This window comes from Homo sapiens, chromosome 20, assembly GCF_000001405.40.
Source record: "Homo sapiens chromosome 20, GRCh38.p14 Primary Assembly".
Classification (NCBI taxonomy): domain Eukaryota; kingdom Metazoa; phylum Chordata; class Mammalia; order Primates; family Hominidae; genus Homo; species Homo sapiens.
The window spans coordinates 34,039,770-34,053,490 of NC_000020.11; the positions used below are offsets into that span (position 1 = coordinate 34,039,770).

General features: G+C 44.6%; 1 protein-coding gene and 1 non-coding gene across 9 annotated transcripts in view, besides 1 other annotated feature; both read left to right on the forward strand.

Moving 5' to 3' along the window:
- Window positions 1–13,721, forward strand: part of RALY (RALY heterogeneous nuclear ribonucleoprotein) — a 90,974-nt gene that overhangs the window by 45,859 nt on the left and 31,394 nt on the right. The gene's annotated exons all lie outside the window — the stretch shown is intronic.
- Window positions 6,041–6,849: an enhancer, noted in NCBI's record as "OCT4-NANOG hESC enhancer chr20:32633616-32634424 (GRCh37/hg19 assembly coordinates)". NCBI's record gives its function as "activates a minimal SCP1, AML or CMV promoter by ChIP-STARR-seq in primed H9 embryonic stem cells {active_cell/tissue: H9 hESC(primed)}" and the evidence as "EXISTENCE:reporter gene assay evidence [ECO:0000049][PMID:30033119]".
- On the forward strand, window positions 9,350–9,421 carry MIR4755 (microRNA 4755). The gene has a single exon (NR_039911.1). It is a non-coding gene; the product is annotated as a microRNA 4755 (primary transcript).

Genomic DNA, 13,721 nt, shown 5'->3' on the forward strand with positions numbered 1-13,721 from the left:
CCTGCCAGTACTAGCTTAATCTTTCTGAACCATATCACCATCATTTAAAAGTGCAATAATGGGCTGGGCGCGGTGGCTCATGCCTGTAATCCCAGCACTTTGGGAGGCCAAGGAGGAAGGATCACGAGGTCAAGAGATTGAGACCGTCCTGGCCAACGTGGTGAAACCCCGTCTCTACTAAAAATACAAAAATTAGTTGGGCATGGTGGCGTGTGCCAGTAATCCTAGCTACTTGGGAGGCTGAGGCAGGAGAATCGCTTGAACCCAGGAGGCGGAGGTTGCAGTGAGCAGAGATCCCACCACTGCACTCCAGCCTGGGCGACAGAGTGAGACCCCATCTCAAAAAAAAAAAAGTGCAATAATGATAATAGATTCAGCACACAGAGAATTATTTAGAAGAGGAAAGAAAAAACTGAGGCCCAAGAGGTGAAGTCACCTGTTCAGGTTCAGGTTCACACCCGAATCCAGATCTCTTGTGTCTCATTCCAGAGTTTTTTTCCCCTCTAGAGCCAAGGTCAGTTGTGCCCATATGGATATGGTAGCAAAGATTGGAACTGAAAGCATGTCAGCTTTTTTAACATCTCCGCCAACAGCCCTCTCAATTCCCCTGTGGCACGTGTCAATAACACAGCCCGTACTTGTTTTAGAAACAAGCGCTCCATAAGCACTCCTGTTTGATTTGCTTTGGCTGGTACAGGATCCAGATGCTCTTAGAATAGCACAACAGACTCTCCAAATCAGCCTATTCCCATTCCGAGCCACTCACAGCTCTGATCTGCTGCTGGCTGGGGTTCATCCCCGAGTCTTCCCTACCTATCATGTGAATCACGTTCAGACTTTTGCTAGTTTGTCCTTTCCCTCTTGAGTAGAAGTAACATTTATTGTGTGCATACTGTGTGCCAGGTATTGTGACAGGTACTTTAAATAGATTATCTCCCTTAATCTTTATAACTCATTAAGCTATTAATAGCTCCAAAGGGGAAAGCTGAGGCTCAGTGAAGTGAATGAATTTACTGAAGCCACATATCTAGTCTCTGAAAGAGCTAGAGTTTGAACTGAGTCCTGACCCCATTGACTAAGCTGTAAGGTAAGCTGTTTCCTGAGTATCATACTGCCTCCCTGTCCTCTGGCCACGGCCCTTCCAGGAGGGTAGAGTGTTTGGGAGTACCCAAGAATAGGCGTTTGGTGCCCTGAGTGTAATAGGAATGTCTTCCATGCCTTCAGTGTATTTTCCTGAGAGTTTCTGCACTCTGTGCCTCAAACCAACTTCTCTAGAACTCAGATATAGAGCCCAGAGATCCAAGCACTGAGTTAGAAGCTATGTTTCCATCGTGATCATGGAACAGAGTCCCTAGTGAAAAGTATATTTGTCCTTTTCAAAGTTGAATAGAGAGAGTATTTCAAGCAATAACCCCTACTTGTATGACCAACTCCAAAGTACAGGGAAGGAAAGGGAAAGGGTCTGTACTCCTCAACCGTGATAAGTCTCCTCCAGGGACCTGGCAGGAGTGGAGACATGCACACACAAAAGATTTTAGGACTAAGATTGTTCTGATAGGTTCTCAAATCTGTACTCAACAGTTTGCAAAGCAGTTTACCTTCAAGAAACCGTACTGTGAAGAAACTGAAGGAATCTGCCTTTATGTGACAGAGCCAGGGGCTAGAGTCCAAATCTTTAGTCTTGATAATGCCAGTGAGGCTAAGTCTTCCCTGAGAGGGTTTTCTCTCTGGCGTTGGGCGTACCCAGTCTCCACTTGCAAAAGGAGCAGGCCCTTAGTCTCTGTCTTTTTCTCAGCCTTCCTCTGCCCTCTTGTCCCCCTCCTCACTCATTCATACTCAATTGCTAGGGACTTATTTCAACCCCTTATAGGGTGTTATTTTTAGGCACAGGGTGATAGGAGATATTTTTTGTTTCTGTATTTTCCCCAGGATCAATTGCCATAAAATCATGGAATTTTAGGATATCAGAGTGGGAAGGGACCTTAATTGACAATCATCAAGTTTACATAGTAACCCTTTTTTTAAAACATGTAACATCCAGAACAGAGCTTCTGGCTGGGTGCAGTGGCTCATGCCTGTAATTGCCAGCACTTTGGGAGGCTGAGGCGGGTGGATCATTTGAGGTGAGGAGTTTGAGACCAGCCTGGCCAACATGGTGAAACCCTGTCTCTACTAAAATACAAAAATTAGCTAGGCATGGTGGCATGGGTCTGTAATCCCAGCTATTCAGGAGGCTGAGATGGGAGGATTGCTTGAGCGCGGGATTGCCATCCCGGCGGGTGGAGGTTGCAGTGAGGGGAGATCAAGCCACTGCAGTCCAGCCTGGGCAACAGAGCGAGATGCCGTCTCAAAAAACAAACATAAACAAAAACAACCAAACAGAGCTGCTTTGGCTGAAGCAGCAGCAAGAGGCCTAGTAGCTCAGCCTCCCCACTACCCTTACCAAACAAAGACGATCCCCGCTCCCGCCGAGGCAGCTGCCTTAAACTTCCAGGGTTCCCAGGATCACAGTTCGTAAAACGACACTGACCTGAACCAACTCTCCCATTTTATCATTGTTAAATTGAAGCCCAGCAAAGGAGAGTAATGTGCCAAGGTCACAGAGTGAATTAGTGGCAGGTGCCCTGACTCTCTGCCTGGTGTCCTTTTTACTACCCTGAGCTGTATGTCATTATGTCATTTCGTTAAGTGACCACTTCTAACACTTGACTGGCATCCTGTGCCTGGGTGTCAGGCTTCTCTTGCCTCATGACATCTGGTTCCTGTGAGGTAGGCAGGCTTGTGAATGTGTGTACCTCGTCAGGGCATAATTTTCATACATAGAGTGAGCATGTGTCAGGTTTTGTTTAACTGATTAATGTGGAAACCAGCAGAAGTAGAATAGCTGAGAAATCAGATTTAGATTGTTAATGAAAGAAGGATTGCTGAAATAAAATTGTTTTGGTTAGTACCCTAATGAAAATATAACCTTTGGAAATATTTTATCTGCGTATTAAAGGTATATACCTTCTTAGTTTTTTACACATTAACCTCTTACTGCAGAGTTTTAAAACATTTGGGCCCTAATCGTTTGTGAAGAATAACAAAATTCCATTTCCCAAGAGTGTCAGATGACTTAGTTCATAGTAAACAATGTGTCTAACATGACTTTTAAGTGGTCACACAATCATCTTTTTGCCTTCCAAATTTTGGATAATTTTCCTTAACATACAATCACTAAAAATGATCAGAACCTCTTGTGTTAAAGCCAGCTAGAGCCATCCCAACCCAGGAAGGCAGCTTTCTGCTCAGGGAACAGATGTGACCTCTTTACTAAGGTTTCTGCAGTCAGCAGCCATCAACAAGATCTTGAGCTCACTCTCCTTGCAGCCCTGCTCAGTGGCCTGGGATTTGGCCTTTGCTAATCCTAGACTTGCTTCTTTTTCTTCCCCTGCTCAAGGAGGCTCTTTTCTTCCTTGTGGTCTCACCCTCAGGACCATCTTGGATGCAAAGAGGTTACAGAGTTCCATTTGGAGGAAGTTTATTTTATGTGCAGAGCCAGTTCTACTCAGAATAGGCAGCTGCTTTCATTATGTGGTTTTGTCTCTGAACATGTTTTGTCCATCTTTCCATCCCCACTGCTACCACCCAAGGCCAGATCTTAATAATCTGTCTCTGGCAGCGTTTTAATTATCAACTCACTTGCCACTCCATGTCCAGTCTTTACCCTGAAATATAACCTTTTCTCTCTCCATAGCTTTTAAGACACAGATCTTATTCCTGTGACTTCCTTGCTCATGAAACCTCTAAAATCTAATCTTCTTAGAATGATATTTGAGGTTCTGCAAAGACTTTTGCCCTTTTCTTTCCAGTCCTTTCTCCAATCGTCTCCTCATACCCTGTTCCATGGGGGTTCATACTAGTGGGTAGGAATATTAGAGAAACCATCTTTGGGACAGTATGAAGGTTAGGAAGGATTCTTTGTTGTGGGGCCATGTTAAGATTTAATTTGATAAAACTTTGTGCTCGGCACAGAAGTAAGTCTTAGGAATAAGGAGTAGCCAAACACATGGTTAAGGCTTTTGGAGCCTGTAGTTGATGAAGAAGGACAGGAAGGTAAAGTAAGTAGGCTAGAGCGATAATCACTCTGAATGGAAACCTGGAGAGAGTGCTTTAGGAGCTTGGAGGGGACCACTACCTGAGAGATGAAGGAATACCTCCCAGAAGAGGTAATATTTGAGTTGGACTTCAAAGATGAGGCATTTGGTAATTATGAAGGGGAGACTGTAACTTCCAAGCAGAAAGACCAGTGAGGACAGAGGCACAGAAGCTTATGTGGGTGTTTCAGAGAAGGGAAAACAGTCCATTGTAGCCAGAGTATAAGAGTTCAGGAATAGGACTGTGGTTAGGGTTAAAGTTACCAAAGTAAGTTAGGGTCAAACTCTGAAGGACATAATATTGGAGGCTATTGTGTATGTACTGTGTTTTACACATAGCATGCAACAATAATTGATTAATTAGGTGATATATATTTGTCTATTTGTACGAGTATGTAGCTGTGTGTTGGTATGTGCGTTACTTTTTTTTTTTTTCCGAGATGGGGTTTTTCTCTTATTGCCCAGACCGGAATGGCAATGGCGTGATTTTGGCTCACTGCAACCTCCTAGGTTCAAGTGATTCTTCTGCCTCAGCCTCCCTAGTAGCTGGGATTACAGGCATGCACCACCACACCCGGCTAATTTCGTATTTTTGGTAGAGGCGGAGTTTCTCCATGTTGGTCAGGCTGGTCTTGAACTCCTCACTTTAGGTGATCGGCCGACCTCAGGTGATCCGCCTGCCTCGGCCTCCCGAAGCTGGGATTACAGGCGTGAGCCACCACACCTGACGTGTGTTAACATTTGAAGAACCATTGAGGCCAAGCAAATATCAAAAATTGAAGCCAGAAGGACAGATTGGACCTAAGCTTACCTAGGCTTGGAGCTCCTGAGATGTTCCCCAGTTCCACAAGCCCGTAAGTTAGTCACAGAAAGCCAGCATTGGAAGGGACCTTAGGGACAGTGTTTATACTTACATACATTCAGTTATCCATTCAACAGATGTCTGATACTGCCCATAGAACTGGGATACAGTAATGAACAAAACAAGGACTGCCTTCATGGAACTTGTTATTTATTTATTTATTGAGACAGGGTTTCACTCTGTCACCCAGGCTGGAGTGCAGTGGCATGATCGTGGCTCACTGCAGCCTTGACCTGAGCTTAAGCAATCCTCCCACCTCAGCCTCCTGAGTAGCTGGGACTACAGGCATGCACCACCACACCTAGCTAATTAAAAATTTTTTTTTGTAGAGCCAGGGTCTCCCTACGTTGCCTAGGATGGTCTCAACATCTTGGGCTTAAGCGATCCTCCTGCCTCGGAGGCCTCCCAAAATGTTGGGATTACAGGTATGAGCCACTGTGCCCAGCGTAGAACTTATTTTAATGGGGAAAACAATGAAAAAATTAGTAAATCAATTATGTAATTCTATATGCATTATGAAGAAAGATAAGCAGGAGTAAAATGTTAAAAAGTGGCCAGAGTAGACCTCTCTAAGGAGGAAGATCATTACCAGCTGAGAGAAGGGCAGGTGAAAAGGCCCTGATGCAAGAGCATGTTTGTAGAATAATTAGAAGGCAGCCAGTGTGGCTGGAGTAGCAGCAGTAAAGAGGAAAGAGGCAGGAGATAAGGTTGGAGAGTGGGCAGCTGAGGCCAGAACATAGGGCCCCGAGGTCCATTGGGCTGATGAGGAAATGAAGTTGGCATGTAGCCAGGATCACACAGCAAGTTATGAGCCAGGCCAGGATTGGGAACGTTCTGGTTCAGGCTCCCTTCCTTTGCTCTCTGCCATCTTCTGTCTTTTGGCCAATATTAACTTGAATCCCATTTAATACCTTCATTTTCTTCTCCCTCATGTAGCTCTCTCCCATTTCTCAGACCTACATTTGCTCACATGATTTGGTAATAGAGTGATTTCTGGAAGGTCATGGCTAGAGTGGTCCTTGGACATCTTTTAGTTAAATCCCTGGTATTAGAAATCCACAGAGGGAAATTGGCCTGCTCAAGGCTACTTACCTAGTTAGGAGTAAAACTTGATTTCTTTTCCCCAGTTCTCTTGCCGTCTGGTGTCTGGCTCTTCATTTTCTGTGTGCCGTTCCCCTTTTCTTACAGTTTCCAGCGGAAGGGAATCAAGTTGTGACCCATGTAATTGACACAAGCAGCTAGCAGCATTCCAGGACCCCATGCCACCTGCCCTCACTTTAGCTTTTTGTTTGGTCTTTGTCATGTGAATTTACTGTTTGATTCAGGCCGGTGTCTTTGAACTACTACCCTCTGCAAAGACATGTTGCTAACTCTGCATCCTTGCTCATGCTATTATTTCCACACCTGAACTGGCAGCCTGCTCTTAACCACAGGTCTGTATCCAGGAGGCTTGTCTTTGAAGCCCAGCCCCAGTCTTATCTCCAAAGAAGCAATGTGGAAAGAGGATAAAGTTTGGAGTTGGATATAGTTGGATTTGAATCCCAGCTTTGGCACATGCTGGGACCAAAGAAATCTTAGACAAGTAACTTGACTTCTGGGAGTGGTTTTCCTGTTTGTAAATGAGGCTATTAACACCTGCTTCATGGGGTCATTGGAAGGATTATTTAAGGTATTGTATGTGTACATACTTTAAGCATTGGGTAAAGAGAAACTCTTATTCACTCCTCCTCAAAGGTGCCTTCTGAATGCCCTTTGCCTTTTTCGTAATACTTAATAGGTAACATTTCTTGGGAGGGTTTCTGTGTGACCGGCACTTTGCTAAGTGTCCAGTGCTTTTAAAAGGACTTACCACTGCAAGTGATTCCATAGTTGTCTCCAAATAAAAAGTTAATTTTTAAAAAGCACTGATCTCATTTTTTATATATTTGTTATTCTTGTTGTGTGTAGATAGAGGCCAGGTTAGGATTCAGTATATACCTGTGTTCCAGTTGTTGCTCTGTGATTTTCTAGCTGTGTAAACTTGGACAAGTCACTGGACCTCCACTCTTTTTTTTTTTTTTTTTTTTTTTGAGATGGAGTTTCGCTCTTGTTGCCCAGGCTGGAGTGCAATGGTGTGACCTCGGCTCACTGCAGCCTCCACCTCTTGGGTTGAAGCAATTCTCCTGCCTCAGCCTCCTGAGTAGCTGGGATTATAGGCATGTGCCACCATGCCTGACTAATTTTGTATTTTTAGTAGAGATGGGGTTTCTCCATGTTGGTCAGGCTGGTTTCGAACTACTGACCTCAGGTGATCCTCCCACCTCGGCCTCCCAAAGTGGGGGGATTACAGGTGTGAGCCACCATGCCTGGCCTTGACCTCTATTCTTAATGTGTTTTTCACACTAGAGCCCTAAAATTCAACACTAGTTACATTTGGAAACCTGACTTGCTAATCTGCTGACCTTGGAAAATGTGTCTTTGTTGAATACAGAGCAGTAGTACCTGGGCTGGCCCTGTGTGACTTAGAGCGGACAGTATGGGAGGTGGAGAACTGGGTGCATGGGAGCCATTAGATCAAGAATTGGAAATTCCTCACAAATAAAAGGTTTCTGGGGTAGGAGCAGGGGGCAGTGTTGATGGTGACTCTGCTTGGATTATCTTCTAGGGATGGAGGATTGCCAGCTCCATTGAATGGAAGGACTGGTGATGCGCAGCCACTCTTGCATGTGCCCGGGCAAAAGACAGTGTGTTGGTGGCAAATGCCTAATGTGTCTATGGCTGACCATGGGCCATCTCTGCCATTCAAGACATCAGCTCCTGGCAGAGTTGTATTGGTTTGATAGAGCTTTAGTCTTCGGAGTCGCACAGACCTGAGTTCAAATCCTTCTCTGCCATTTACTGTAATAATTGTGTTCCTTAGGCTGATCCTTTAGCTCTCAGATCCTCTTTTTCCTTTTCTCTAAAATGATGTGGTTGATATCTGCTTTTGAGGTTGTGAGGATTTAAAATAACAGGTAAATAGGTGCCACACAGTACCAGATACTTAGTTGGGTGAGTAGCCTGGTGATCTGTGGCTGTTAGCTCTTTGAAGGCCAGTATCCCTAGGAGATAGCAGCAACGTCAGCACTGCTCTGATTCCCTGACCAACCCCCAACCCCACCTTTGCCCTCAGAAATACCCTGGACCCTTGTTTCCTTCCTCAAGTTCAGACCCCAGAAATGTTGGGCAAGAAGGAGCCTCCAGGCCAGGCTTTATTGTGCCAGATGTTATATCTGAGTAAGCAGGATTGTTACACAGCAGAGATACAGGAGCAGAGCAGGTAGCTCAGGCAGCTGCTGATGAACAAAAGGCTTCTTCTCTCTGTTCCCAATAAATTGGTCCTTGGGGATCCTAGCTTTGAAATTCTAATTGACACAGGAAGGAAAAGATTCATTAGGCTCTGGACTCGTTAAAATGCTCTGCTGCTCACCTACGATTTATTCTTGGCACTTCATCAAGAGGAATTAAGTAAACCAATGGGCTGGGAGGCTCCTGACAGCAGAGTCGTGTGTCTCTCGTGCTCCTGGGGGGATGAGAGTGTTGGGTCTCCTATGCTATGGAGCATATAGCTGGCTTTGGAATCTCCTCATCCCTAGGACTTCACATGAGTCTAAGTCTCATATGCTTTTAACAATGGAGGGACCTTCTGAGATCATACTGTGTAACTCATTTATAGATGGTCCAAAGAAGAACTGGGACTTGCTCAAGATCACGAAACGCATTAGTAGTGGAGTTAGAATTAGAATCAGTCAGGCTGCATGACTTCCAGGTCAAGAATATTTTCTCTGCGGCCGGGCGTGGTGGCTCACGCCTGTAATCCCAGCACTTTGGGAGGCTGAGGCAGGTGGATCACGAGGTCAGGAGATCAAGACCATCCTGGCTAACACGGTGAAACTCCATCTCCACTAAAAATACAAAAAATTAGCCGGGCGTGGTGGCGGGCGCCTGTAGTCCCAGCTACTCGGGAAGCTGAGGCAGGAGAATGGCGTGAACCCTGGAGGCAGAGCTTGCAGTGAGCCGAGATCGCACCACTGCACTCTAGCCTGGGAGACAGCGAGACTCCGTCTCAAAAAAAAAAAAAAAAAATTTTCTCTGCATCACCTTTGGATTTCTACACCCAGTGTTTCATTCATTCAGCCTTCAACAGATACTTTTAACACATTCTGTGTGCCAGGACTCTGTGATAAACAAAACAGCCATGGAGGAAAGTAAATACCTGACCCAGTATTAGGAGAGATTAGAAAGGCCTCCAAGTCTGAGAGATGGATAGGAATTAGCTCAGCAAGGAGAGATGAGGAAGGTTATGGCTGAGGAACTGGCATCTATGAAAGCCAGATTCAGCTTTCCCTTCAGAGCCTGGCTTTGGCATCTATGAAAGCCAGGCTCTGAAGGGAAAGTTGAATCTTGCTAGAGTGGAGAATTGAGGAAGAGATGAGATGTTAAGGCAAGCCGAGTCTATGAGGTTTGGGCCACTGTATGGTTGTAAAGAACCCTGGATCTGGGATTAGGAGTCCTGAGTTCTAGATATGTTTCTGCTACCAATATGTTAGTCATCATTCTAGTAACACTTCACATCTTTTAGGTGTGCCATGATGGGCACTGGGGTACAAAAATGTGTAAGATGTATGTAGTCCCCTCCCTCAGAGATCTGTCAGTTTAATGAGGCAAGCAGGCTAATTAAGAACCCCTGTAGTAAAGGAACAGTTACCTCTGCTGTAAGAAGTCAGAATTGAGCTGTGTGTTACTTTAAGCACTTTCTCTGGGCTTTGATGATCTCACCTGTCAAATGGTAAATAACCACTGTCCTATGTAGCTGGTAAACTGATGAGAAGACAGACAACTTTGTAATGATTGGCGTTTGTTTGGCATTTTGTGGATTTCAAAACACTTTTGACATCATTAATTCATTGAACCTTAACTGCAATCTTATGACTTAGGAAATTTCCCCACAATGTACAGATGAGGAAACTGAGAGAGGTTGAGGCTTGTTCATAGTTTCACAGCTTTTGATTAACAAAAGTTAGGATTATAAATCCAAATCCCGTGCTCTTATTTTGAAAAGTATAAAGATGGCAACCTTTCTTTCTATCCCCTACTTAGTGGCAAATTATCCCCTTCCCCTTTTCACAGTCACCAGAAATGCAGAGAATGTCTGCTGTGTTTGAAAAGCAGATCTAAGCTGACTGGGGAGAAAGAAAGGAGCTTATTTCAGGTCTTCTTCAGGCTGGACTCTAAACTTTTAAGATCATGTGCGCCCGTGCTCCCATCAGCTCCTGCTGTTCCATCTCATGCCATTTACAGAGTGCCATTTACTGAGCCACTACTTCATTGGCTACTCATAGCAACTTGTGGGGTAGACAAAGTGCACTTTACAGATGGGCAAACTGAGGTCCAGAGTCCCTGAATTGTACATGTCAGAACCAGGATTGAATCTAGAAGTCTTGGGCTCCTGACACCAAACAGGTGCTCTTAACTTGCAGAATGTAGGTTCCTTTGATTCAGTTCGGTTCAAACAATTCTTGAATATAACCCATGTGCCAGAGACTTTGCTATGCAAGAGAGCCTCTAGTTAGGCTCAAACCGTCTTGGTCTAGTGCCTTACTTAAGAACAGGGACTTGTATTATTTACTTCTCTGTCCCCAGGCAGGACCTTGATCCAAAAATGCTTTGCTGTTGTTTTTGGCCTTAATCTGCCAGAAACTAGAGGGAGCAGATGGCCACAGCAATGTGGGTTATGAGGATGTGATATCAGGCAGGGTTGAAGGATGAATTGAGAGCCCTGCACCCAACTACTTCTGTGTCTGTGCCTAGGCCCTTGTCAGGGTAGTCTCTATCTGAGAGTGTAGCTGGTCAGCCTGGTCCCATTTCTCATTTCCAGTCACCTCCCCCTCTTGCCATCCCATATAATGGGGTTAGTCTCCTGGACAGATCTCATACAGAGGCTGCTGGGATCTGCTGTCCAAATGACCCTTTGGACCTATTTCCCAGCCATGTTCCAAGATGATGGTGAGGAGTCTAGCCCCACAGCCAGTATGCTATCTCTATTCAGATAACTCCCAGCTCACAGGCCTCCCACCAGGCTCTCACCCACTCTGATGTTTTCACTCCTGACTCCTAAGAAGCAGATTGGCAATTTAGTGTGAGTCTGTCAGACAGCCTAGAGAGTAATCAATACTGAGAGAAATGGACATATTTCCTGTTTATTCAAAATCCTGATGAAAATTTTAAGGAGCACTATTTGGGAAGGGATGACTGGGAACCTTGCAAGAACAAACAGCTTAAAATTCATGAACAGAAATAGCAACGTTTATTCATGATGTTTCAAATGCCCCTAATATTCACATCTTTATATATTACAGACCCCTTTCATACGTGTTACTGCTTTTGAACCTTAGAGCAACTCTGTGAGGGAAGCAGTGTAAGGATTACTATTCCCACTTGACAGTTGAGGAAACTAAGGCCCAGGAAGCTTTAAAGAGAGTTAGGGACCATCTGATAGTCATGGTGGCAGAGCCCAAAACAGAACCAAGATTTGGAAAATGAGTACTCCTGGGTTTGAAATCTGGTGCTCGCCACTTTCTAGTTGTGTGACCTTTGGCAAGTTACTTGGCCTCTCTGAGCTCAGTTTCCTTCTCTGTAATACGAGGATAACAATGTCTACTCCTTATGGTTGTGTATGGATTTAATGATATAATTAATGGAAAATGCTAGCACAGTACAGAACATGTGTTAGGAGCTTAGTAACTGCAGGTATCCTATCTCATAGGATAGCGTTTTCAGTATATTGCACTCTGAGTCTTTGAAATTTGATACTTTTTTTTTGTTTTTGAGACAGAGTCTCGCTCTGTTGCCCAGGCTGGAGTGCAGTGGCGTGATCTCCGCTCACTGCAAGCTCCGCCCCCTGGGTTCATGCCATTCTCCTGCCTCAGCCTCCCCAGTAGCTGGGGCTACAGGCGCCTGCCACCACACCTGGCTAATTTTTTTTGTTGTTGTTGTTGTTTAGTAGAGACGGGTTTTCACCGTGTTTGCCAGGATGGTCTCCATCTCCTGACCTCGTGATCCAGGTGCCTTGGCCTCCCAAAGTGCTGGGATTACAGGCGTGAGCCACTGCGCCCAGCCTGATACTTTCACTACAGTAAAATGGACTACATATAATAAATTCTCATTAACCAGAGTATCATTTAAATGCCTCACTAGGTTAAGAGAACTGGATAAGAAGGGAAGCAGGGTGCTCCAGGCACTGGCTAAGTACTCCTGATGCAAATCACAGTAGGTTAGAGCTGACAGGGACCCTAGAGATCTGTCCCAGTGTGTCTTCCTCAAATTGTGTCTTCCTCAGAAGAGATGTTAATAATTTGGGAAACATCAGATTGAATAATGCTAATAAGTAAATTTCTTTACCGCTGCCTTTGCAGACCCTTATTGTGTGTGTCTCTTGGGAACGAGTTGAGAGTGCAATATGCCAAATTTCCTCTTCTTATTTAACCTTGGAGCCCCTTTTTTGAGGAACTCTCATTAACATCTTGAGGAACCCTGGTTTTCCGTGGAAGATTTCATGTAACTGACTCAGTCCAGTTCTTTAATTTTTAAGATGAGGGAAGCTTAAGGTCTCTAACCAAGGTCTACAGCCCATGGCAGAACCAAGTCTAAATCTCAGGGTGCCTAACTTTTTCCTAGGCCACACCATAATTTGTACTCCACTATTGTTCCTTTTCTAGCCAGCAAATCCTAAAATTACAGAGGATCCTGCAAACCACTAATCAGAGAGCATTGTTAGAGCATCAAGCTTTCTGTTTTGATGTGTTTATCCCAGTAGGCAGGAAAATGAGGAAACAACAGGCTTAATGGCCATCAGATGTTTCCAAACAGTTGAAGGACCAGGGGTCAAGTAATTATCTCAGTAACTGGAAAGGTGCCCTTACCGTGCAAAGTCGAACTCTGTTCTTCCTGCTGTAAGAAATTTGAGTTATATCTGGGGGACTCATCCAGTAGGCCCACAGTCCCCACAGTCCAGCTCCTACTAAGAACTAAGCTCTGACACCAGTAATATAAAAAAGATCCTGAGAGGGGTTTGAAGAGAATGTGTAAGTTTCTGCTCCTCTGTCACCGTCTCCATCACAAAATTGAGGGGGTAGGAATGTTCTGCTGGATTTCTATCCAGACAGTGGCAGAGGAAGTTGGCTTTGGCATTTAGTGGGGCTATCCTTGCATTTTACTAAGCCCTCTAGTTAAGATCAAATCAAGTTTAAAAAGAAACTTTTTTTTTTTTTCACTCTGTTGGCCAGGCTGATCTCGAACTCCTGACCTCAGGTGATCCGCCTGCCTCGGCCTCCCAAAGTGCTGGGATTACAGGTGTGAGCCACCACATCCAGCCCAAAAATATCACCTTTAAATTTGCAAGTTTATATGGTAGATTGTTCAAAGCACATCTGATCACAACACAATCCCGTGACATAGAGGTTCTTTTCCATGTATCATATGAGGACGTTAAGGTTCAGAAAAGAGATGGTGACTTGTCCAGGGTTTGACGGCAAATTAGTGATAGACCCTTTTCACAAGTGCCTAGTGCAAGGCCAACATTTAGTAGATGTTCAATAATTTTTTTTTTTTTTTTTTTTTTTTTTTTTTTTGAGACAAGGCCTCGCTGTGTCACCCAGGCTATAGTGCAATGGCACAGTCATGGCTCACTGCAGGTCCAACCTTCT